This window comes from Homo sapiens, chromosome 2, assembly GCF_000001405.40.
Source record: "Homo sapiens chromosome 2, GRCh38.p14 Primary Assembly".
NCBI classification, from domain to species: Eukaryota; Metazoa; Chordata; class Mammalia; order Primates; family Hominidae; genus Homo; species Homo sapiens.
In genome coordinates this window covers 8,241,264-8,266,047 of record NC_000002.12, presented here as the reverse complement: position 1 = coordinate 8,266,047, position 24,784 = coordinate 8,241,264, and the positions used below count along the sequence as shown (strand labels likewise).

Below are 24,784 nucleotides of genomic sequence, written 5' to 3'. Positions count from 1 at the left end.
CTAGGCCATGGCCAACTCCTGAGCCTCGGTCCTCAGGGAGGCTGGAGGCAGCATAAACAGCTGATGTGATGCAGCAGGTTGGAAATCTGAAGTCTGTGGGAGCTTGGCTCGCCCTTCCTGGCACAAAATGAACCCATCCATGCCCACCTCTCACCATGTTAAAAATGGAACCAGTCATGACGACCCATGGGCATTCCTTGTTTGTGGCTCTCCTGTAATTAAAAGTGCTGTGCAAACTCTGAATAATAGCAGGAACACATGTTTAAAATCTGGGCTTTCCTCCAGCCATGCCCCCCTGAAATGCCCTCTTATACAACATCCCCTTCAAGTTCCCTTTCCAATGTATCTCACTTTGCTATGTGGGTGTATCCTGCCCACCCCCTCCATGCTCTGGAGTGTGTCCTCCCACCTCCTCCAGAGTTGATCATCACGGTGGGATTTCAGCCCTGGGTTCAGGCCCACAGGGAGGCACTTGTGTTCAGAGAGCCTTCCAGCCCACTTTGTTTCTTACTACCTCTGCTTGTATAATACCATTAAGGAGAGTAAAATCTCCTGCAGGCCATTGTTGTGCAAACTAACTGAGAAAATGTGTGCTAAAGCACATATAGGGAAATGCAGAAATGTAAGTATAGATTCCAAATGCCAGTATTGAAGATCCTTCCTGAAGGATATCAGTTCCCTAGATCTCATCCTTCCTGCAGAGAAAGGAGAGAGCTTGGGGTTGGGTGTTGGGGGTGGTGAGGTGATGGAATACTAAGCCCAGCTGCTAATGGCTGAGTTCTTATGAAGTGGTCAAACTTGGGTGGTTTGCACATGCTTTTGGTAGTCCCCACAGCCACCAGCCAGCCTCCAAAGCTGCAGGTGGCAAAGTCCAGGCACTCCTGGCAGGGATGTTTCGTGGTCTCTGTGGGTAGGTCTCCTGCTGGGGCAATGTTGAACTGAGACTCTCCCACTCCATTTCTGCCTTGGTTCTTTTACCCCCACTTCTCCATCTAGGCATCCAGCACGCTGGACTTTCAGAGAAAAGAAGTGCTATTGTGCACGGGCAGGCCTAGGCTACACAAATAAAGAGATGGGATCGGTATAAAGGACCACACAATCTTTAGGAAAGGCAGAAATAAAAGGGTCCCTACATGTTCCTCCCATCAACTATGCCTGGCAAACAGTGAGAACTTAATAAATACTCAGCTGTTGAAGGACCAAGTTCAGAATCGGGGCTGTGGAGTTTGGGAGGGAAGAGGCAAGAAAAGCCTTTTTGGAGGAGATCAGAGTCTGCACAGGTGCTGAAAGATGGAGAGAATTTGAGAGAAGTGATGGAAGAAGCTTGGCATTGCTGGGCTGGCTCCATCGATTAAATATCTTGGAGCAGGATATGAACTGATGGAGGGTCTTACATTTACTCAAGCCCTTGGGTGAGTCCACAGGTAACAGGGCATGGGGCAGATTGCTACAATCTAGGATGATAAAGAAGGCTTCTTTACTACAGAAGACTTCTGTCAGTGGTGTGCTGGATGGACTAGAGTCAAGAGAGGCTAGAGGGTATTGAGGAAGAGAGGGTATTTTCTGCCACAGGTGGGGCTCCTAAAACAGGGAGTTTGAAAATCCAGACTTGGCTAGTGTTACTCTCATTTTTTTTTTCTTGTAGACTCTGTTACTCATTTGGCTTGGGAATACCCAAGGCCTCCACATTCCCTTTATACTGTAGTTCTTTAAGCAGATTTGATTTATTATTTTTGCCTTTGGGGAGAGAGAGATACCCAACAACCTCTAGGGTCTACACTCCCCTTCTTTAGTGGGTTTTGTTTGCCCCTAGATGAATTTGCCTGATTAGCTTCTCCCAGATGACAAAAGGCCTTTGTGGAGTGCTGATGGGCCATTTAACCCCTTGTCTTCAGTTTCACTGGCAACAAAACCAAGCTGATAATACCTGCTTCCGAGGATTGGTGTGGGGTCAGGAGATCATTGATGGGAAAGTGCTTTTAGCCTTTTCAGGAAGAACAACTTTGCGTGTCACAAAAGGATTTGTTCCTTTGAAGAGGCTTTCCTGTTTTATCCATTTAAACACTCGTTAAAGGGACTTTGAGGGTATCCTTTGAAGGGAAACTTGAGGTGGCTCCGACAAGTCTTTGAGAGTGGGATTCCTTCAGGTCCTTTTCTGTAGCTAAAGGGTTGGGGTTGAAGATAATCATAGTAAGACAGGGTGCCTCTGTGGGAGTATTCCCTTGCAGGGATGGGGCAGATTATAGAGGAGGAGGAAGAGGTGGAGGAAGAGGAGGAAAATCTATTTGGGTTTGTTGAGACTTTTACTCTGGAAAACTGGAATTCTAGTGAGGAATCATGGATTCCAACAACTAAAATTATGTTTGCATGCCCAATAGTTATAGTAAGAGGCATTAGCAAAGTGCTTTAGAATGTATGGAATTATTTTTGTTGTTATCACATTTTGATCCTGTTAACAGCTCTTTGGTACTGTTATTATTGGGATCTTTCTTTAACATCCTTTTTTTTAAATGGAGGTACAGAAAGGAAACATAATTTATCATTTGCTCAAGAGGCAGATGTTATCACCCTGTTTCTGTTTCTTCATGTTAAAATTGCCCACCATGTGGCCCGGTTTCCCAACAGCTTATGAGATGGACCCATACAGGTGAAAATGAAACTGTTATGCCAAGGCCACAAATGTATGAAAAATGACAGGAGAGACCCACCAACACGCATTATCAGAAACAGCATCAGTTCTGGCTGCTTAGCGGCCCTTGGAGCATTTACAGAGGAAAATCATTTACACTTCACAATGACCGTATGCAGCCGATATTTCTACTATCCCTATTTTCAGATTTGAAAATGGAGAATTAAGAAATGAAAAACATCTAGCCTAAGGTCACACAATTAGCAGATGGCAGCTGGATCTGTTTCCCAGTCAATCTTGTCCAGGCTGTTTGCCGTGACGACTCTGTTGAATGGGCTCAGGAATTGAGGGTAGGTTTGGGGTGGGAGAGTGTGCCCCCTGGTTAGAGCAGAAACCTATTCAAAGAGAGCCATGCTCCTCTTTTCCTCCTTAGTCTACCGGATGCATCATAAGGTTCAGGGATGAGACATGGTGGAAGGACTGGAGAGATAAGAAGCTGCTGGCTTCCCTGCCAGCACTGCCTGCCAACCTGTGGGCACGATTTGGTCTTTGCTTTCCTTTTACCTAGCATGTTGGAGCCACGCTCGGCACTGGGGTCTTTTCTCGGTGCACAGGCAGGCTGAGTTACCAGATTCAGGATCAGGAGAGCACCTGTACCCCAGACATAAGCAGCAGAGTGGGCCACCCAGAGCTAAGCGGTAGCACAGATAATGCATAATTTTTTTGTTTTGTTTTGTTTTGTTTTGTTTTTTTTGAGATGGAGTCTCACTCTGTCACCCAGGCTGAAGTGCAGTGGTGCAATCTTGGCTCACTGCAACCTCTGCCTCCTGGGTCAAGTGATTCTCTTGCTTCAGCATCCCGAGTAGCTGCGATTACAGGCATGCACCACCACACCTGGCTAATTTTTGTATTTTTCTTAGAGATGGGGTTTCACCATGTTGGCCAGGCTGGTCTCAAACTCCTGACCTCAAGTGATCCGCCCGCCTCAGCCTCCCAAAGTGCTGGGATTACAGGTGTGAGCCACCGTGCCCGGCCAATAATGCACAGTCTTCAAACACTCCCTCAGTTGCATCCTGCATCCTGTGCTCTGAAATGCCTTTGGAGAGATGAGTCCTGAGCACAATACGTTTAGAATGTGCTGGAAATGCCCCCAATCCAGTATAGAATAATCGCCCCATATGGCTGCAGTTCAGCTGCTGATAAGGCAGCCCCTTGTGCTGGTCATGTTGTCTTTTTCCTAGTAGTTACATAAAATCCAAACAACTCTAAATGCGCTGCCTACACGGGCTGTATTAAGCTTGGCAAATGGAGTGATCCATTCTTAGTATGCACCAAGTTCGATTGTGTCCTTTGCTGCCTTTCAACACTCAACTTAAACTTGAAAGAGGTTTTTCTCACTGTGGGAATGAAAAAGCACCACTGGAAAAAAAAACAAAAAACATCTCACTGGCAAATTAACAGATAAAGGTCTACCCTGCTGACACAATGCCAAGCAGAGGTAAACATTCAATCTTTTTATCACAGCAAAGGCATTTCTCCTAAACTGGAGCAATAATGTAGGTTGGAACACAGGAACAGTTTCTCCTTTTAAATGTGATTTTCAAGTTTGAGATCTAAAACTGCAATTGAAACGGGCACTTACTTGTAAATGACAATCCTATTCTTCTTTAGATTATACCACATTTATTAAATTTTTATGACAATTTATAAAGATGGCCAAGCAATAAAAGTTAGGCCATGATAGCAGAGTGAACTATGAGGCTATTTCTAAATAGCATTTTCAGCATATTAATTGTTGCTTAGATAACAGTCCTATCTCTTCGGGGCCTCTGTTTGGGTTTAACTCCAGAGCCAGCAAATTAATCCAGTCATTATATGGCTGAAAGCTGTATCATTTACCAGTTCATTATTGTTCAAATCAAAATCCATACTTTTCTGGATGTCTCCAGGGTTATGAACTAGATAGGGAAGCCTTATCATTCTGCAAAATAATCTCTCATGGTTCTCTCTCCCCTGCATTAAAAGAAACAGCCCATTACATTACATTAATTTTCATATTGATAGGTCCTTGCTGAAGAGCAAGTTGAGGCGTGGCCTTTCTCATTCCATCTCACCACCTTCTTCTTTGACCCTGCCACCTGCCCGGCAGGTAGAGTGGAAGCCCCGATTCCTTATCTTTCTCCAAATCTCAAGTCACGGACGTGACCCAGCTTAATTTTAATCAAAATAACCATCTACCCCTCTGCCTCCTAATTTTCAGATCGTGGCTACTCAAATATGGATGCAGTTTGTGAACTTGGGTTGCTAAAAGAGTTTCTCTAAGAGCAGGTGCAGGTCTACATGCTGCTGAGTGTTCCTTCCATGCAGAGAGTGGTAGGCAGAGCCAGTGAGCTGCATTAGAGGGGGATTAGGAAGCTATAATAAAAGATACTAAATTCCAGTTTCTTACAGATTAGCACATTTTAAACCAAGTGCAGCTTCCCACGCCATGGAACAAATTTTACCCTTATTCTAGCACTTAGCTCTTAACGAGTTTGATTAAACAACATTTTACCTGAACAAATAATGTTGCAAACTTGAGATCAAAATCTGAATTTTTTTTTTTTTAATTTAGAATACGAGCAGGGACAGGAGGAGAATTGTTGATTTCCAAGTGGGTTATTGTCTTTCTGACTCACTGAGCAGCGTTCCTTCCTTTTTTTGTTTTCTTCCTGCTCACCAGCATTTGCCACCTCCGTTTTTACCTAGTGCCCATAGGAAGTTGAATGTGGAAGGGTGCAGAGTGGAATCACAAACAACACATGTTTCAGACGGAGCATTTTTCCCTAGAATTTTTCAGCAGCCGGAGAAACACAGTGAGTATTTCGGGTACTCTCTGCATATGATCACTTCACTCCTACAACCCAGTAAGAGGCAGCTCTGGAAGGCTCCAGGGAAGGGAAGGTGCTGCTGGCTGAATACGTAGAAAGCCGAGAGCGGGTGTGTGTTTTGGAGACAGAATCTTAGCACCTTTCTGAAGCTGGCATGTGGTTATCTTAGCTGCGAACGCATGACGCTCAGCTGCTTCATTTGCCTAGGACTCCCCGTTCTAGGACACCACCTACATCCCAGCATATGACTTTACGGCAAGCTTCATTTCTTTCTGATGGAATTAATCATCAATGTGCTCTAGGACTGGGCCTTTCCACATTGGCATGTGAAGAGCATTTGTTTCTTGTTTAGACAGTCCATGATTTTCTCCATTGCTTTGATGGTAAAGCTTTTCATATCAAGCACTGTTCATTATCAGAGTTCCTTTTCTAGAAAGACAATGGGATGAAGACATTTTCCAAAAACACTATTGCAGGGAATGAGATGATGGAGAGGACGATGAGAACGCCATCCCGTGGGGACCAGTTATAATGACTTACATCAGTCTCATTGGAACCATTTCAGAATTTATTCAAATGGCAAAACACTCTTTTTAAGATGAAACAAGATTCAGTTCTGCAACCCAAGTTGGCACCAATGTGCCGAGGCCCCATTTGATAGTTCTTTGTAAATTAAAGTATTTATAACTTCGCTCCATTTACTGCCCCAAGTTACAAGAAATGGAATTCTACTTGGGTTTCTTGATGCTGTGGTCTCTCATGTTCAGTTTGGAATGGCTGTGGGCTTTGCTGGGATATTAACTGCACCAAGGGGCTTAGACTGATGCTTCTAGTTGGCACTTCCACTCTGGGGCACTGGAGGCCAGCCAAACACATTTTTCTGCTGTGTGTTTTGCTATGAGGAAGTCTCCCTTTCAGAAATCTGCTCTGATGGGTGCTATTATTTTTATTTACATGTGGAGTGAGAATCTACTAAGAGGAAGGCCCAGCAAGATGCATATGGTGTTGGTAAAAATTGTAGACCTGGGCTACATTCATTTTAAAATTGAATTGGATTTTCTCATTATGCACTGGCCTGGAATGTGCTTTACTGAATCAGTCATTTTTGTTCGTTCTTATTTCAGTGGAAATGGAAATCAGGGCATCATGCAGGATCAGAGAATAATATATTTTGTGGTTCATGCACTTGGAAAGGACAAACAAGAACTGGCCAGAATGGACACAGGCTTTTGTTCTTCAGTGCTGCCACTGTTCCAGAATCCGATCAGACAAAGTGGTATTGTCTTCTCTTTCCCTCTCTTGTTGAGAAAAGGAAAGAAAGGGGGCTGGCAGATGGTTTCATGCAAAAAGATACGTTAAAGAAAGTACTCACTAGGTGCATTCGTCTAGGACTTGGTTTCTTCAGACATTAAATGGGCATAATAATTAGGCCTCATAGGGTTGTCATGAAACTAATTGATAGATTAAAGCGAGTTTAGAACAGTGCTGGCACATAAAACTAAATACATGTTAACTGCTATGCTACTGCTACTACTACTAGTACTACTATTACTACTACTACAACTGCTAGTACTATTACGACTCCTGCTGCTACTACTAGTAGTACTATTACCACCACTACTGCTACTACTATTGCTACTACTACTACAACTGATCATCATCACCATAATCATTATTGATCATATCTAAACTGCTTTTTGGAGGCTACAGATGTTTTTACCAGAAGCTGTATAAATCCATGTATGTCAGATGGCTTCCATTCCTTACTGGCTCCATAATTTGGGGAAATCTACTTAAACTATGTGAACCTCAGTGTCTTCACTTTTAGGTGGAGACAGTAATGGCTCCCATACTGGGAAGCGCTGTGTTGATGTGGCTTAGTGATGGTGGTTACCGCTGTTCTTTCATTCATGTGCAAGCCATTCGGTCATTCTCCCTCACGCTGTGGCTCTCACTGTGATTCACCCCAGAGGCATCCTTTGAGCATCTTCTTTGCACCAAGTATGTTGCTGTTTTTCTCATGTCAGTCTCTGACCCACATCTGCACCTTTACACTTGCCTGAGATACTGTAAATTGGAGTGAAGCTCATATCTATTAGATATTAATTAGCTATATATAGATGATTAATTTTCCTATAATGGCCATGTTTATTCTTGTGAATTTAAGGTGACAATGGGCTTCTTTTGGTTCATAATCATGACAATTATTCTTCCAAATGATCCAAATGTTAACCTGGTGATATTCTTTCTTTTTCTTGTGAGGATGTCTAAGAGTTAAGAGGTTTGATCCAAAGGAGAAAAGCAGAAGATGTAAGATAACCATTCCAACAGCAGCTTTGGGTGAAATTGATTCACATTGATCACCTATTCAACAGAGTACTGAGTATGAGATATGCTTCACGGTGTCTGTTGATTGCCCTGATTAGAGAGATTCAGAGTTAGAGTTCTTGGAGTCTTTGTGTACCTCCTTCTAACTCTTCTCTAGAGGAAAGGGACCCAGCCTGTGGCACAAGTATGTACTCAAGTACTTACAGAGAGGAGTTAGGTGCTGTTTGCTGAAAAGGCATCTCACCATCGCATCAGACTTTTGTTCCCAGGGGTTCATTTCAGAAGATATAGCATGACTTTTAGGGCATATCCAAATCCCTGTCAGAATACACCAGATGCATCTTGCTTCTCACTCTCCATCTCTTTTATTTTAAAAATAGATGCTATTGTAGCTTTGGAGTCCCTGACCAAGAAGGCAACGGGGCTGGATTCTATTCCTGGCCCTGCTGCTGTTGTCTTGCTGCCTGGCAATTCACTTGACCTTTCTTCCCTTTTTTTCCCCTAAGGAAGACGCCTGCTGTGGATAGACCCCATGGGGGCGTTGGGAGGGTTTCAGGAATGAATACAACTATCTCAGGCTATAATACGATGCTGCCAGCCACTTTGAGGCTCTGGGATGAAAGATGCTGTGTGAAAGAGAATTGTTATTACATTTTGTTAAAAATATGGATCAAAGGCTGGCTATACAGTAAGTGCTAAATGTTAATTATTGTTATAATATCATAACAAAGCAGATGCCAGAATGCTAGATCCCATGAGAAAATCCATTATAATAAGCCAGTGTGAAATGTACATATTACAAAGATATTTGGCAAGAAGGCAGATTTGGTTTTGAAATCTCAATGAACAATTAAGTAGAATAAAAAATAACTTTTAATGCTATGACAAATATAAGTGTCTTGACAACTCTTTAACATAAAAATAAGGAGCTGCCTTTTCCCCATACAAAAGAGGCAGCATTGTTTCTTTCTTTTTCCCCTGAGCAAAAGATATATTTCCTTGGACATGGAAGAAAAAAGTAATATTTGTCTTTACAATGACCCCTTCGACAGCCCTCTTTATGACAGGTAGATCCAGGAGAAAATTCTCTAAGTTTATAATAGCGCAATGAGCAAATCTATTTTTAAATGGGTTCAGAGTCTACTGCCTGTTTCTCTTTCCTTCTGTTTTTTTTTTTTTTTTTTTTTTTTTTGACGTTGTTTCACTCTTGTTGCCCAGGCTGAAGTGCAATGGTGCGATCTCAGCATCTCAGCTCACTGCGACCTCCACCTCCTGGATTCAAGTGATTCTCCTGGTTCAGCATCCCGAGTAGCTGGGATTATAGGCATGTGCCACCACGTCTGGCTAATTTTGTGCTTTTAGTAGAGATGGGGTTTCTCCACGTTGGGCAGGCTGGTCTCAAACTCACGACCTCAGGTGATCTGCCCGCCTCGGCCTCCCAAAGTGCTGGGATTATAGGCATAAGCCACCGCTCCTGGCCCAAATGCATGTTCTATTTGATGGTGTTAGAGAATGGACTTTGATACGTATTCATAAATGCCACCAGCTTTTTTGGGCTCAAGCTTTTCACCTATTTTCAGATCTAAAGTGCATAGTCCATTATGTGATATCAGCTGGAAAAAGGAAGAGAAAGAGGGAGAGAAGGCATAGGAAGATGGATTTAGAAAGAGAGCCCTATCCTAAAAAAAAGACCGAGGTCAAGAGAACGTAATTTTTATATCCTAGTGCTTTTTAAGAATGGATCATGCATGAATTCACCTAGCATGCTAATTTTTTCCCCCAGAATATTGTGAGAAATGAATAACCAACTCTCAGGGGAAAGAAGAAGTCTGTATTTGCACTGGGCTATGTATTACCTTTGAGGAAGAAAGGGAGAGTGGAGGACAACCGCACACCTCAGAGCAAATTTGCAGTAGATCGTGTACCCTCTGCTGATAGGATTATGGCCAGATTATAATTATAATTGCCTTGGCTGTGACTCTGTGTTTATTTGCCTTGACATGGACCCAGCCACCTAACTCATTCCACACTCACTTCAGTTTTTCCCTTTGAACTAATTTTGCAGTTACAATAACTTCTAAGAATACATCTGTTGACTGGACATGGTGGCTCACGCCTGTAATCCCAGCACTTTGGGAGGTCGAGGCAGGTGGATCACCTAAGGTCAGGAGTTCGAGACCAGCCTGCCTAGCATGGTAAAACCCCGTCTCTACTAAAAATACAAAAACTACTGGGGCGTGGTGGCAGGCGCCTGTAATCCCAGCTGCTCAGGAGGCTGAGGCAGGAGAATTGCTTGAACCTGAGAGGCGGAGGTTTCAGTGAGCCAAGATCGTGCCACTGCATTTCAGCCTGGTGACAGAGCAAGACTCTGTCTCAAACAAACAAACAAACAAACAAGAATGCATCTGTTACAGGAAATCAACAAACTCCATATTTGTCAGTCAGTTGGTCAGTTATGTGAAGGGGAGAAGATAAGAAATCAAATACAATAACAAATAACTTGTTTGGGATTAGAGTTGGAATGTGAAAACATCTAGGCTTTTGCATTAAAACAAAGCATTCAGGATGACTCACAATAGAGGCCAAGGGAAACCACTGCCCCTGTGCCTGTGAACTTCAATGGGACAAACCTGCAAAAATGCCTGGTCTCTGGAAGAAGCAGCCACACCAGATGAACATGGGCTTGGGCTGGGACTGGGCCCCAGTGGGGCTGGAGGAGTGTGAACAAGGATCCTGCCTTTCTCAGGACACGGTCATCATTTCTGCAGCCCCCGTAATATCAAGGAGTTTCACGAGTGCTTTGGAGCCATTTCTTAAACTTAAGTGGGGAGTTGAATGACAGCCTCAGCACTGCCCTCAGGATTTCTTGGGAAAATGAACAGGGCAGGTGAGATGCAGGTACGTGAAGAGAAGCTAGGGGGAAGGTGGGGGCCCCATCAGGTCCCAGCCTCTTACAGTAATTCCCAAGACAAGGGGCTGAGTATCAGAGTGAAAGCCCTTGAAGAAGCCTCCGTGTCTCTACGCTGGACAGCTCTCTCTCGGCCTGCTCTTCAGCAACTGGTGTAAAAATTAGGGCCATTCCTGGTGTTCATTTTAAGTTTGGATTCCTATGGTGTTCCATTCATTTTTACAACCAACCTTGCTTATGAAGGCACGTCCACCAGGTGCCAGGCCAGAGGGACGTAAAGTGAGCTGAGACCCTGCCCTGCCCTTGGCCTGCTAGATACCTAGTGGGAGGCACAGCTCCAGGAAGCCAAGCTCAGAGAAGATTCCTGCAGAGATTCCAGAGCCAGGAGAAAGTGAGGGGCTGGAAGTGAGGAAAGCTGTCAGAGAGCAGGGACCCTGATCTAAGTTTTCTCAAAGGAGGAAGTGCACTCCTCAGGAGGCCAGGTATCCATGAAAAGAGTCAAACTCTGTAAAATATTTGAAGAGATTTATTCTCAGCCAAATATGAATGACCATGGCCCATGCCACAGCCCTCAGGAGGCCCTGAGAACAAGTGTCCAAGGTGGTCGGGTACAGTTTGGTTTTATACATTTGAGGGAGGCATGAGACATCAATCAAATACATTTAAGAAATACATTGGTTTGGTCCAGAAAGGTGGGATAACTCAAAGTGGGGGCTTCCAGGCTATTGGTAAATTTAAACATTTTCTGGTTGACAATTGGTTGAGTTTGTCTAAAGACCTGGGATTGATAGAAAGGTTAAGATAAAAGATTGTGGAGACAAAAGTTCCTTTGAAGTCTTGTAGTGGCTGCCCTAGAGACAACAGATGACAAATGTTTCCTATTCAGATCTATAAAAGGTGCTAGACTCTTAGTTAATCTCTTGAGGAGTGGGAGGGCCTGGAAGATAAAGATCTAGCTATGTTAGCAGAGATTCTTTGCAGATGCAGATTTTCCCCCACAAAGGACAGCTTTGCAGGGCCATTTCAAGATACAGCAAATAAACATGTTTTGGGGTAAAATATTTTGATTTTCTTCCTTGTCTTGTAATGTTATACCAGAGTCACGTTGGAAAGTAAGTCACAATATATAGGGTCAAATAAAACTCATCTGATGAGAATGTATGGTTTGTAGGGCATGACTCCCCAGACTCCTTAAATAGGAATTTGGGCAAAATAAAAAAAATCAGAGCTTAGTCCTCATAGGCTAGGGAAGAAACCATGTGGGCAAAGAAAGGGTAGTGAGAAACCACTGTGATTCCAGGGGTGGCAGGAAGCTCTGTGCCCTGATACCATGCCCAGGCCTGGGGGTGGGGGGTGGAGGTAAAATCAGGTTCCAATCAGGCTTAGAATGTGTGTCACAGGCTGAATGGTGTCCTCCTGAATTTATATGTAGGAGTCCTCACCTCCAGGAGCTTAGAATGTGACTGTGTTTGGAGATAGGATGTTTATAGGGCGATCAAGTTAAAATGAGTCCTTTAGGGCGAGCTTTGATCCAGCATGACCCATATCTTTATTAAAAGTGGAAATTTGGATGCAGAGACGGATGCATAGAGGGAAGACGAGTTGAAGAGACGCAGGGAGAAGAGGACCACCTGCCAGCCAGGGAGACAGGCCTGGAAGCCTTCTCCCTCCCAGCCCTCAGAAGGAACTGGCCTGCTAACACCTGGCTCCCCGGCAGCTGGCCTTCAAGGCTGCATGATGACACATTTCTCTTGTGTAAGCCACAGGCTTATGATGCTTCGTTAGGCAGCCCTTACAATGGCGCTGAGCAGCTTGGGCTCTTCACACCTCTCGGTGGATCTATTCCCCTAGGCATCAGGTTACAATGCAGGTTTGGACTTGGCAGGGTTGGCGTGGGCCAGACACTCGGTGTGACTGACAGCCCCCGGCTGCTGCCAGTGCTGTGGGTCTGCTGACCACACCATGAGGAACAAGGCATTAGACCAAAGATTCTAAAACCAAGCTTCACTGAAGAAGCTCCTGGGGAGATTTTAAAAAATACTGGTGTCAGGACTCCACCAAAGATGGATGGCTTTAGAGACTAGGGTCGGGGCTGGGCCCTGGTATTCATCCTCCAGCACTCTGGGGAGGCTGCTGAACAGGCAGAGTTGAGAATTCCTTGGCCTGGGGGAACCACTGCAGTGTGCTGCCTCGCAAGAGAGTGGGGCTAGGGCTGTGTGAGATGTGTCACCTCTGGTCAGGCCAAGTGGGGAAACTGCCACAGATTGAAGCTCTTTCCAGGTTTCCTGGATTTGCCTAAGAACAAAATACGAACAGTACAATTACAATGCGTCAGTTCAAAAAATAAATTAATTAAAAAATTAACAAAACCCCACACTAACAAACCTCATCAACAAGGGGGCATGGCTCTGAAAAAATAGACTGGGACCATCACAGCTGAGGAGAGGCCTAGGGGAAGGAAAAACATTTATACCCTGGGGGAGGGAAAGAAACACTACCAGCCCCAGACACAGTCCTGCCCAAAGGCTGAGGCTTCCTGAGATGGTAGAATGTGCCCAGACTGCCACTCCAGTGGCATCCAGCATCATAAAGTGGGTTAAAAGGAAGGATCTGTAAGACACAGACTCTCTTTGGGGAGCAACACAGAGGGAAGGCCCAAAGCCAAGGGGGAAGACACGAATAAGGACACCAGGGAAAAAGCTTCAGGCACCAGTATCTGCAGCACCCGTTAAACACAGCCTAGCTCTTGCCAGATTAATACAAACCCAGGAGTGTTCCGTTTGATGCCAAAAACTCATGTTTTTCTCACTACAAACACGCCCATGAGTTATCATACCAAATTATTTCAACAACCAACAAAGCCTTTTAAATTATGAAAACAGAGATGAAAATAAGACTTCACCAGCTTCAAGATATGGTTCCTATGTGTTGAGTGCTAATTATATTCTAGACTCACATGGTACTGTCCTTAATCCTCATTTGTTGTAATAATTTTCAGTGTACTTTCTGATAGGGCTTGGAAGGGTGAAGTCACCAGGCAAAAGTCATAGGCGCTACTTGTTGCAGCAGAACTGGAAACCAGATTTGCTGCAGCTGAAGCTGGTGCTGTCACTACCACGCCATGCTGCTTTTTATAGGAGCTTCAGCTCTAGAGGCAGGCAGCCCTCTTGCAATGGGACTTAGTCCATGTTAGAGAAAAACCTGCTTGCTTGAATATAATTATTGCTTTGTTTGGGTGTGTAGATTATTCACTGAAAACAGCCTCGGGAAAACAGGGCCTTCAAAAGAGATAAAAGAAAATACCAGACCAATGGCTCTGGGCATCGGCTGACGCACCTGATAAGAATAGGCTGGTGGCCCCTGCGGAAGATCTCAAAACATTGACCAAGAAAGCAATGATTAACTTCCCACCTGAGACTGCATACGTTTCACGATAATGTTTTGATGATGTTTCCCTTAATTTTCCCTTAAAAATCCCTGATCCAGAGGCATATCTCAGAGAGGTGGTCTTTGAATGCTAGTTCACGGCCTCCCCTGCATTGCCAGCTTCTGGAATGAAGCTAACTTTCCTTTCACCAAAGCTCCTCTCTTGAGTTTTTGGCTTTCAGGCATCAAGTGTCCTAGACCTGAGTTCGTTTATATTATGATAGGGTAAAAATTATGGAAACCCAACTGTGATCCATGTTTTCTCTGATGGGCGGGCAAGGTCACCGTGCTGATAAGAGGAACCAAGCTTGCCCAGACAGCCTGCAAAGAAACAGGGAAACCGACCTGAGCTCCCCAGGGTGGGTGGTTCAGAGGAAGTAATGAACATAGTTTTGGAGACAGAGCAAGTTCCTCTAGCTCTAAGTGACATTTTGTGACACCTCCTGATAAAGAATCGAGTACTTGGGGCTTTCCTGGGAGGAGGACTCTGCACATAGAATTACTGGGCTCCCTTGTCAGAATGGGTGGGGGATTGTCCCAAGCCCATGGGCCAATCCCGGCTTCAGTTAGCTTTTAGAATATTTTTATTAAAAATGCTACTGATGGGAAAATACCCCACAACATTTCCTCAACACTATTGAAGCACTCGTCATTGGGAGTGTGCGTGGCACAGGATTTTAGAACAAAAAGCACGAGCCTTGGGTGTTTGTGTTGGGGAGACCCAGATGAGAACCCGAGGACTTAGAGCTCAAGTGTGGGATCCTTGAGGAACAGTCCAGAGTATCTGGGGAGACTTGGGGAGCAGCGGCTACTGGTCCTCTTGCATTGAACTTTGTTTGCTCTACTTGGTGACTTTCGTCTTCCCTGCTGGACTCTCAGCTGCATGGGGCAGAACCCACCCTGGCTGAGGGGAGGCTGTCAGCCTTGGAGAGTGGTGCCTGTTCAGGAAGGGAGTGCTGAGCCTCTGGCAGGAGACACCTCCAGCTGATTGTGGGCTGGGGAGGGTGGAGCAGAGGTTGGAGGGACGAAATAGGAGAGTGGGCACCAAGCAATATGTTCTTGGGGTATTGTTCAGAAGTGAACACCACCAGATAATTTTTTTAGGGACAGACTATGTCCTTGTAAAGGGCAGGCTACTCAAGAGACACCACAACTGTAGCTGTGTCAGCTTATGATAGGCTCTCAGGAAAGTTGCCTTTGGCAATGACCCTCACCATGGCTGTATTAGTCTGTTCTCACACTGCTGATAAAGACATACCAGAGACTGGGCAATTTACAAAAGAAAGAGGTTTAATTGGATTTTCAGTTCCATATGGCTGAGAAGCCTCACAATCATGGCAAAAGGCAAGGAAGAGCAAGTCACATCTTACATGGATGGCAGCAGGCAAAAGGAATGAGAGCCAAGCAAAAGGGGTTTCTCCTTATAAAACCGTCAGGTTGAGACTTATTCACAACCACAAGAACAGTATGGGAGAACCACCACCATGATTCAATTATCTCCCACCAGGTCCCTCCTACAACAACGGGAATAATGGGAGATACAATTCAAGATGAGATTTGGCTGGGGACACAGCCAAACTATATCAGTGGCCTCAAAGCAGATTTTACTGAACAAATATCTAAGAATATCTAAGGGAGCTCAGGGATGGTGATCACCACTCACTTGGCAAAAATTTGTTGTTCATCCACTAAGCAACAGTCTCTGTGCCGGGTGCCAAGGATGCAGGGATCAATAATGGTTCTAGGTTGAACAAAACCTAAAATGTTAGAAAATAACATCAGATTTTGGATATCAGGACAGAGGGACTGTGAAAAAAATCCTACCACCCTTTGTGCATACAGGGCTATTCCCATCTGAACCGATGTTAAGGAAACCAGCTCTCAGAGGCGTATTGTTTGGAGTACATTGAGTTATCCATCTGGTCCAGCTTATGTAAATACCTAGCACTGCTGGGTGTCCCAGGGTCATCTCATGTAAGGATGCAAAATTTTATCTTTGGGTAAATTTATCTTTGGACACTCTGTCCACTATTTCAGTAGCAAAGGAAGTTCAACTACAAAAATCTAGTTTTCTAAAAACAGGGAGTAATCATTATTCTTTTCTTTACAATTCCATTATGCAGAAATCTATCCTGGAGTAGTTTTCAGGGTATTTATTTTTATTTTAAAAAACTACTTATAAAATAAGTGTTTTCTAGGGTCATAGTACATTCAGGGTAGCGAAAGGTAGGGACCAACTCTAGGTTAGATTCTGCAGTATTTATTCTTTTTATTTAAGCACCAATTAATGGGATAAGACCTTTATGTCTCTGGTAAAACCCAAGCAGTGCTTCCTGAAGGATTTGAGTCGTTAATTGGCTTCAGGGTTGAAGCTTAGCAGGGAAGCCACTCTTCCATTACACGGGAGTTGCTGCTAGCCAGAAGCCAGATCCCGACAGGAACATCTGACATCACCTCTCAGCCGGGTGCGGCCAGTGCCCAGCTCCGGGTCCTGGCCAGAGTACGGGTGGCTGGCAGGGACGTGCCCTTCCGCACATTGCCCCGATCTCCAGAAGGCTCTCTGCAGTGGATTCTCTGTGACATAGCCTGCTTGAAGCAGGGATCTGAGCTTTGCGACAGCAGCTCGTGGCCAAGAGCCAGTCCAAGTTCTACACGTGGCCACACTCGAGGGCATGCTAATTAGGACATTTGGACTGTATTTTATTAATGGCCTTTGGCAAAAGTCCACTAAGAACTCTGATGCCTATACCACTGGCAAGTGAGATTCCAAATTTGCTGTTCTCCCCAAAGCCACCACAGAGAAGCTTTTGGTAAGACTGCGAGCTCTCCCAGATGCACCAACGGCTTCAAAAAGGGGGAAATAAAAATCCAACTTTCCCTTCTGAAACAGATATACTGTTGGCTGAAGAGATTTTTTTTGCTTTGAAAAAATGTCATTGATAAATCCTGAAGCTAAATGTAGAAATTCTAGAGAGAAAAATCATGATTGGATCAGATCTTTTTTTATAAAGCCAAAGAAAATGTACTGGAAAATTCCTAGTAACTGAAAGTAACTTTTGTGAAGTCAGGAACTTCCAAACTAAACACATTTACAAATCCAGCCCTCTGCTGAGTAATTCTGAGCAAAGTGATTTGAGTGTGGCATTCAGTGAAATCTTATTTTTGCTATGCAAATCAGCTAGGGCATTTATGAGTGACAATAACACGAAGTTGATCTGCAAATCGGGTATTAGCTGTGTTGAAGATTTTCCTTTTTGCCAGTCCTAGGAAAGCTTTAGTATCTCCATAGATGAATTTATTTACTTTGTCATCATCTATTTCTCGAGCTCCGGCTGGTTGATAGGCTCTGAGTAAGTGCTGGGATATGGGCGTGAAGGAAGCAGACAGACCTGCCTTCACGCTTACGTGCTCTGTGGGGAACAGAGACTGGATTCAAAAATAAAATGTGTGCTTTATTCCACAGGCATTTATTGAGTTTCTGTGCTGTCCTATGGAGGAAGGAAAGATGACAGGGTCCAGGAGTGTGGTCAAGGCCTCTCCTGGCTGGCCAAGTGTTGACCCCAGGGTGGAGGTATAGACATGCATGTTGTGTTTCGAGGGTGGGTTTTGAGGATGAAGACCCAACTCACATGTTGCCAAATGCACAGTGTTTGAGGACAGGGTGAGGCTACAGGGAAGGAGGGCCTCGTGTTGGGAGGGAAGACCTGAGACTTCTAGAAGCCCGTGGCTTCCTCTGGGAACATTCCTGTGGGCAGCAGGGCCTGGCTGCTGATGGTCACCCAAGTGTCCTCAGCAACTCCTCCCTCCCGATGCCTGCTCAGCTTGCCTAGCCTGGCCTGCACAGCAGGAGAGGGGGCCAGCTGTCTCTTCCAGCCCCTGGCCTGCTCCTGCTCTTCTCCAGGAGGGGAGAGGCAGAAGCCCGGTGCCTGGGTGTGTTGTATTAACTCCTTCTTTATATGCCAAGAGCCTGAATTCTCCCGGCTCCAGTGCAACACAACTTGATTCCACAACTTGGACTTTTCTCTTGCTTCTCACTTTTAACTGGGTGCAGCTAGAGGTGATGGTCTCAACACACAAAGACTAGCAGAGTATAAGTGTGGCCATTCAGCTGTGAGCTTCCAGCCGTGTTATCCTGGCATAGCCCAGGGTGATGTCCTTGCTACAGTGCCATTGAATATATTTGGAAACAGAGGAGCATGAAGACACATACCCTAGTCTCTAGTTTTGCCCTGAGCTTTGGAGTCTGTCATGTTAGCTGTTGGAGTGGAGGAAGAGTCAGAATGCAATGAATGTGGTTGCCTGGATTCCTGCATTTGCCCAGGGCAGGGTGGGCTGGGGGCTGTATATAGTATGGACCAGCCCACTGGTGGGAGTCTGAGGGACTCAGGCTGGCAGGGGAGATCTCATCTGGACTCCTAAGGACCCAGAGGTTAAGGCAGGGAACAAATCTGAGTTCTGGGGTGATATGGGTGAAACTTGAAGTCCACTGAAATTTAAAGTCCAATGTCCAATCTGTTGTCCAAATAGAGTGGTCCTGGAGCCAATATAGGCATTGGTATTATGGGATCAGAGAGCCTGGAGATGTAGGCTCCAGTGATGTCCAGGGTTGGTGATCTGCAGTAATTCCTGAGGCGAAGTGGGAGAGGGGAGAAGAGGAGTTACTTGAGGCAAGTGACAAGCCACAGCTGGTATTCTTGTGGCCTGCTGTGTAGATAGGCCATTCCAGTTTCTCTTGAAGACTGGCATAGGGAGAACACCGTGTTCTGTCTGCCTGTTCTGTCATAGCCCCTTTCTGACCCTGGCTGCCTGGTGTGTCCCTAGCTGAGAATGGCCCTGCCCTTTTCCTTAGACAGGGATAACCTTTCCAATTTACACCTCATTCAATCCTCAGTGTAAATGTTTGCAAGGAAAAAATCAGCTTGTTATTTCGACTGCAGTATTTATACCCACCCATAAAACTACACATGGAAATGACAAACAAATTTATTTGCCATTTTTGAAAATTTGGCCCTTAAAGGGCATTAGCAAGAACATTGTGCCATTAGCACAGATTGTTTCTAAAACACTTGAAAAGATCCAAATTCTACTGAATTTGGGGGCCAAGTAGATTGAAAATTGTATCTTAAATTCCAGGATCTCCATGTAGTTTAGTGTGCACATTAGAAAAGAGAGCCATTTAGAAACGACCTTTATCATGCAAGGAGATGGATCTGAACCTGGATACATGTACATTCGAGTATCCAGTCATCCGTGGGCCATAGAAGGGCCCTTCACAGACACCTCCTGAGGGAGACCAGAGTGCAGTGGGCTGGGACCTCCTGCTGGGGCACTAGGGCTTGGGACGGGGGTAAGGTGGTGTATTAGTCAGTTCTCACGCTACTAATAAAGACATACCCAAGACTATGTAATTTATAAAGGAAAGTGAGTTTGTGAAACTCACAGTTCAGCATGGCTGGGGAGGCCTCAGGAAGCTTACAATCATGGCAGAAGGGGAAGCAAACATGTACTTCTTCACATAGTGACAGGAAGGAGAAGTGCAGAGTGAAGGGTGGGGAAAGCCCCTTACCAAACCATCATATATTGTGAGAACTCACTATCATGAGAACAGCATGGAGGTAACCGTCACCATGATTCAATTACCTCCCACTGGTTCCCTCCCGTGACATGTGGAGATTATGGGAACTATAATTCAAGATGAGATTTGAGTGGGGACACAAAGCCTAACCATATCAGGTGAGCTTGCTCCATGGTCTTCAATGCCTGATGGTTCCTTCTGAAGCACCCATGTCCCTGGGCGAGCACTCAGTGCTCCTGCCTTCCCTTTCTTCAGTAGCTCCTCACTGCCCATGGGAAAAGGCACACATGTCTTCCAACCTGCCACTCTCTACACAAACTCCAGGCTCGCTCTATACCATAGCCTCTTGGGTTGCCCCCCAGACCATGATCTGGCAGTTTCCTTGTCTGGAATCTTCTTCAAAAGTGGGATGACTGAGTCTCCTGTGCCATGTCCCTGGGACCTGCCTTCTGCCCCAAGCCGGGCAGCCAGAATCTCTCTCCTGGGAATTGCAAGAGTTGGCTGGAGCCTACCTGACAGAGGCCTGATGCACAGCCACCTGAGGGCCACAGACATGGTTTGTGAAGCTTCCCTGGCTCTGGCCACTCCATGGGGCTCAGTTTTCAGTCTTCCTTCTGTTCTGAGATCTATCTTTATAAAGTCCACTTTTTTCCTTAGCCGTAATAGGTAGTTATTGAGAGCTTATTATGTGCGTTCCTAAGCACTTTATGTATCGTCTTTCATTTGTTTAAAAAACTCTTACTACTTTGATATCACGGACGAGAAAACTAAGGCTCAGAAAGGTTATGTAGCTCCCTCAAGCAAACAAGGCTGGTGCTTTAATGCTTGGGCCACATGGCCTGTTTAAGTATTTCAATCACGTTGTCCATTTCTGTAGCTTGTGAGCAAAAGGACCTTACAGGATTCATCCTTTCTCATGCCTCCTCTAGGGTGACCTCATGGCTCTAGGTCCCAGCATCTCTGTGCTGGCTTTTTTGACTAGGTCATGCAGCATTAGAGGTTCCCTCCTCTGAACTCCAATAGAACATGGTCCATATTTATTTCATAGCTTTTGTTTACTTTTTATGCCTTCTTCAGTGGTAAAGTCCCTGAGTTATTTATATCCATTGCCTGGAGCAAAGTAGGAGTTTAATGCATATTTATTGAAGGAAAGTGCTTTCTTCTTCCCTAGAGTGGATAAACAGGAGGGAAAGAGAAAGGAAAGAGAGCAAGCCGGTGATAACAGTAGACATCTACTGTGGGCCTCAGCTTCATCTGTGCCTTCAATACAGGGCAGGTGCATCGACCTCAGGGTGAGAATTATTTTATGTTCAATTCCAGTAAGACCAAATAACCTGGCCTGAATTATTGCATTAAAATAATTTAGGAACTATTAATATATGTTGGTGGTCTTACCAAGTCTCAGGAGATACTAGGAAAGAGGAAGTTGGAGTGAGGAGGGAGGTGGCCACTGCTGGAGGATCTGGCTGGGGCCTGAGAGTGGGAGGAGACCAGAGGAGGAAGTGGCTCTTTCTGACTAGAGTGCCCAAAGTCTCCACTGCTAAGTGGCATCGGGGTTCAAGTTCAATAGCAAAGGGGGTGCCACCTGTGAGACTAAGGCCTGGCCAGGGAGGAGCCATCCCTGTGCTGGGAAGGGAGAGGTTGGTGGGAGGGTGTCTGGAGCTTCCATACTGTATTTGTAACAGGAGTAAAATCAAACTTGGTCCAAGGGGACATTGCAGCGAGCCTGTCAGTCTCTACCCCTGGCATTGTTATCGAGGGGGGAAAGAATGGCTATTTTAAAGGCTGGCTGAAGTTTGTGCTCTTGGCTTTAACACTGTGGCTCTTGGTCACTGGGACCCTTTTAAAACGAAGGTTCCTAAACTCCCGCTAAAAAATCTGTAATCCAGTGGGATCTGCATTTTAGTAGGCACTCAAAGTGATTATGATGTGAGGGGTTCTTTGCAAACCATTTCCCAGAGCCCCCATGGTGAGGACACATTATTGGACAATCTGTGAAGGAGCCTTTTGGTTATTTGATCAGATCATGGTTCTGGGGGAGTCTAGTTTGGAGTGGTTGAGACCAAGAGGATGTAAGTGTTTTGCATAGAAGGAAAACAGGAACCTTCTTGGAGTAGACAGGTTGTTCTGCTATAAAGTAATTTGCATTTTCTTACGGGCAAATCCTAGAAATGGGGATTTCAGTTGAGAATTGTGGTGGGAGGTAGGATAAGAACTCTAGGGGAAAAAGCTTGCTGGCCGCTGCCAACAGTTTGGGACCACAGCCCTGGCGGGGCCAGCCAGGGTCCCCTCTGGAAGCTAAACTTCAGCAGCAAAGACATGGGGTTTTATTTCTGGTCTGTACAGCAATTCTCCTCTTTTATACCCAGCCCTTCACTAAAGGTCTGTTACACGTGACAGTACTGGATGAGGGAAGTCTGAGAGTTAAAGGCCTGGATCCCTGCTTACCTGTGGAGCCGAGTGGCAGGGAAGATAGACATAACTGAGATGGTGTGTTTGTTTCTTGAAGCTGCCATGACAAAACTCCACAAACTGGGTGGCTTGACACCACAGAAATTCATTATTTCAGAATTCTGGAAGCCAGGAGTCTAAAATCAAGGTGTTGGCAGGGGTTCACTCTCTCTGAAACCTGAAACCTTTCTGAAGTGGACCCAGTTACTTTCATTTTAGGGTGAAGGACTTTAGTACGATGGTCAAGACAAGAACCGTGGAGTCAGAATGCCTGCATGCAGATCTCATCACCATGGGTAAGTGGCAAGAGCTGGGCGAAAGGCTAATCTCTGGGGCTGTCCGTGTTCTCATGTGTGAAGGAGAATTCTCTGTTGTCTGTTCCAGCTTCTGGTGTTGCCGGCCATCCTTTGCACTCCCGTCTTGCGGCTGTGTTGCTCCAGTCTCTGCCTCTGTTGTTACATTGCATCTGCTGTGCATCTATGTCCACATTTCCCTCTTCTTATAAGGACAGAGGGCCCATCCTAATGACCTCATTTTAACCTGATTACATCTGCAAAGACCCTATTTCCAAATGAGGTCATGTTCACAGACGCCCGGGGTTAGGACTTGAACAGATCCATTTTGAGGGCACACACAATTCAACCTATAACAGAGGGCTAGATGTGAGACGGTGCCCCCTCCTACCCTTCACTCTGTCTCAAAATCTTTAGAAATATTTTGATGGAGACTAAATTCCTGGTAGAAATATCAGCAATCTCTGAAATGACAGTTTGGGTATTTTTTCCAGAATATTATAAGACAAGGTGACCCCAGATGAACTTGGGCCCACTCTGGTTACATACGTGTCATGAGTGCTTAGTGAACTGTGTGTCAAATGAATTACCTAACTTCATTTGTACCATGGCCAACTCTGTGTCATCATTGCAGGATTCAAGTCTGGCTTGTCTGGGGCCAAGCTGAGTTCTCCATGCAGAGAGGTACTTAATAAAGGCTTCCAATGTTTGTGCAATGAAATGAAAGATCTGCGGGGCTGTTAGGTTCTCAGACAAAAAGATTGCTATGCAAATTCAGAGCCTCATTATTTCACCAAAGGTTGAAAAACTAAAAACAGATCTGGTAGCATAGTCCCCTTGGTTGGCAGGAGCAGTGCTTTGGACCCGGGTCACATTCTGATGTCTCCTTGATCATAAACACCTGGTTCCCAAAGCGTCCGCAGTTTGTTTCATTTTTAAAGACCAGGATGGCAAATTTAAAATTCAAATTCTTTTGAACAGCGGAGAGAATGTAGCTATAAAAGTGTTTCAGACCACAGTGTTTTAAATGAAGGTTAATTTTCTGATAAAATAGGAAATGAAGGAAAAATTATCTCCCTGCACGCAAGCATGGTTTAGAATACTATAGCTCAATTAGATGTTCTGATTGTGCAAACAATCAGCCTCATGTCTTGTTAAACTTCTCTTTTTCAAATTATGAAGCTTTTCTATACTAAGATTAGCAGGAATATTAAGGGTAGAACAGATAAAAGATCCATCTGAGCCAGAAGAAAAATTATAACTTAAGAAGTCTCAAAACGAAATGAACTTCCAAAAATCCCATGGTGTGTCCAACATTATTAAAAAATTGTCCAGCATGAAAATTAACTCCTAGACTCAGAGGAAAGAAGTTATTATTCTTTGCTTTAAGATACTGAGTACATTTTACTCAATGGAATTTTGCTTTGCACATACAGAAATACGTTATACATCATGCATGTTAATCAGACCTATGCAAGATATTGTTTGCAAAGTAGTTTTGGGGATACAGGGTGTTTACTTCACAGGGGCTGGGTTCAGGGGAAAGGGAAGCAAAGACCATTAGAACGTCTTACGTTTTGCTGCAAAGCAATTTTGATACCATAAGTTTTTATAAGTATATGACTTCTGATTTATTCTCAAGCATTTATATTTAACTTTCACTGGGTTGTATCCAGAGCAAAGAGCCATACAGTCATTTTGTGCTGCGTGCGTCTTTTCTACTTTCAGGGCTTGTAGTAAGGTTACAGAATGTGCTGGCACTTCCCAGAGTTTGTCTATTAAGCGAATGAGCGATGCATCATCTTGGTGAGATATTTGGTCCATTTCGCGCCTCTCTCTTCTCATTCCCGCCCTCCACATTTGTTTCCCTGTAGCTGGGCCTCTCCTGTTCTGATGGCAGCCGTGCATCCTGGCCACATCTACCTAGGTGGCTTCTCCTGGAATTTCTTCTGGTTATCCTTCCAGCCTTTGTGTCAGCTCTGAGGCCACATCTTTCAGGAAGCTCTATCTGCCCACCAGGCTCCCCACTGCTGGGTGGCTCCTCCCTGCTTCCCTGAACGTTCTGGACCTTTGCACAGTTCTGACCTTGCTGCTTCCTGGCTGTCTCCAATCTGAACTCTAAGCTCGATGGGTGTAATGTGTGGGTTGGGCTTGCTCTGGTGTCTCTGGCAGGTGGCACCAGGCCTGATATGTAGTGGGTGCTTGACTGCTGTCTGTTGCTCTTAGAAAAAGTAATAATTGAGTATATTTGGGAGTTCCCAGAGGAGACACACAGAGACTCTCCTTTGAAGATGAGATACACTC

General features: G+C 44.9%; 1 long non-coding RNA gene across 2 annotated transcripts in view, besides 2 other annotated features; it reads left to right on the top strand.

Annotated features, from left to right (window-relative positions):
- The window catches only part of LINC00299 (long intergenic non-protein coding RNA 299), a 320,649-nt gene that overhangs the window by 62,372 nt on the left and 233,493 nt on the right, over nucleotides 1-24,784 (top strand). The window contains exon 9 of one of the 2 annotated variants that reach the window (NR_152741.1): nucleotides 22,407-22,483. The exons of the other annotated variant lie outside the window; for it this stretch is intronic. This is a non-coding gene — a long non-coding RNA (long intergenic non-protein coding RNA 299). The remainder of the gene's footprint in view (nucleotides 1-22,406; nucleotides 22,484-24,784) is intronic. 2 annotated transcript variants of the gene reach the window in all.
- Nucleotides 1,645-2,231: an enhancer, noted in NCBI's record as "OCT4-NANOG hESC enhancer chr2:8403947-8404533 (GRCh37/hg19 assembly coordinates)". NCBI's record gives its function as "activates a minimal SCP1, AML or CMV promoter by ChIP-STARR-seq in primed H9 embryonic stem cells {active_cell/tissue: H9 hESC(primed)}" and the evidence as "EXISTENCE:reporter gene assay evidence [ECO:0000049][PMID:30033119]".
- Nucleotides 11,406-12,277: an enhancer, noted in NCBI's record as "NANOG-H3K27ac-H3K4me1 hESC enhancer chr2:8393901-8394772 (GRCh37/hg19 assembly coordinates)". NCBI's record gives its function as "activates a minimal SCP1, AML or CMV promoter by ChIP-STARR-seq in naive H9 embryonic stem cells {active_cell/tissue: H9 hESC(naive)}" and the evidence as "EXISTENCE:reporter gene assay evidence [ECO:0000049][PMID:30033119]".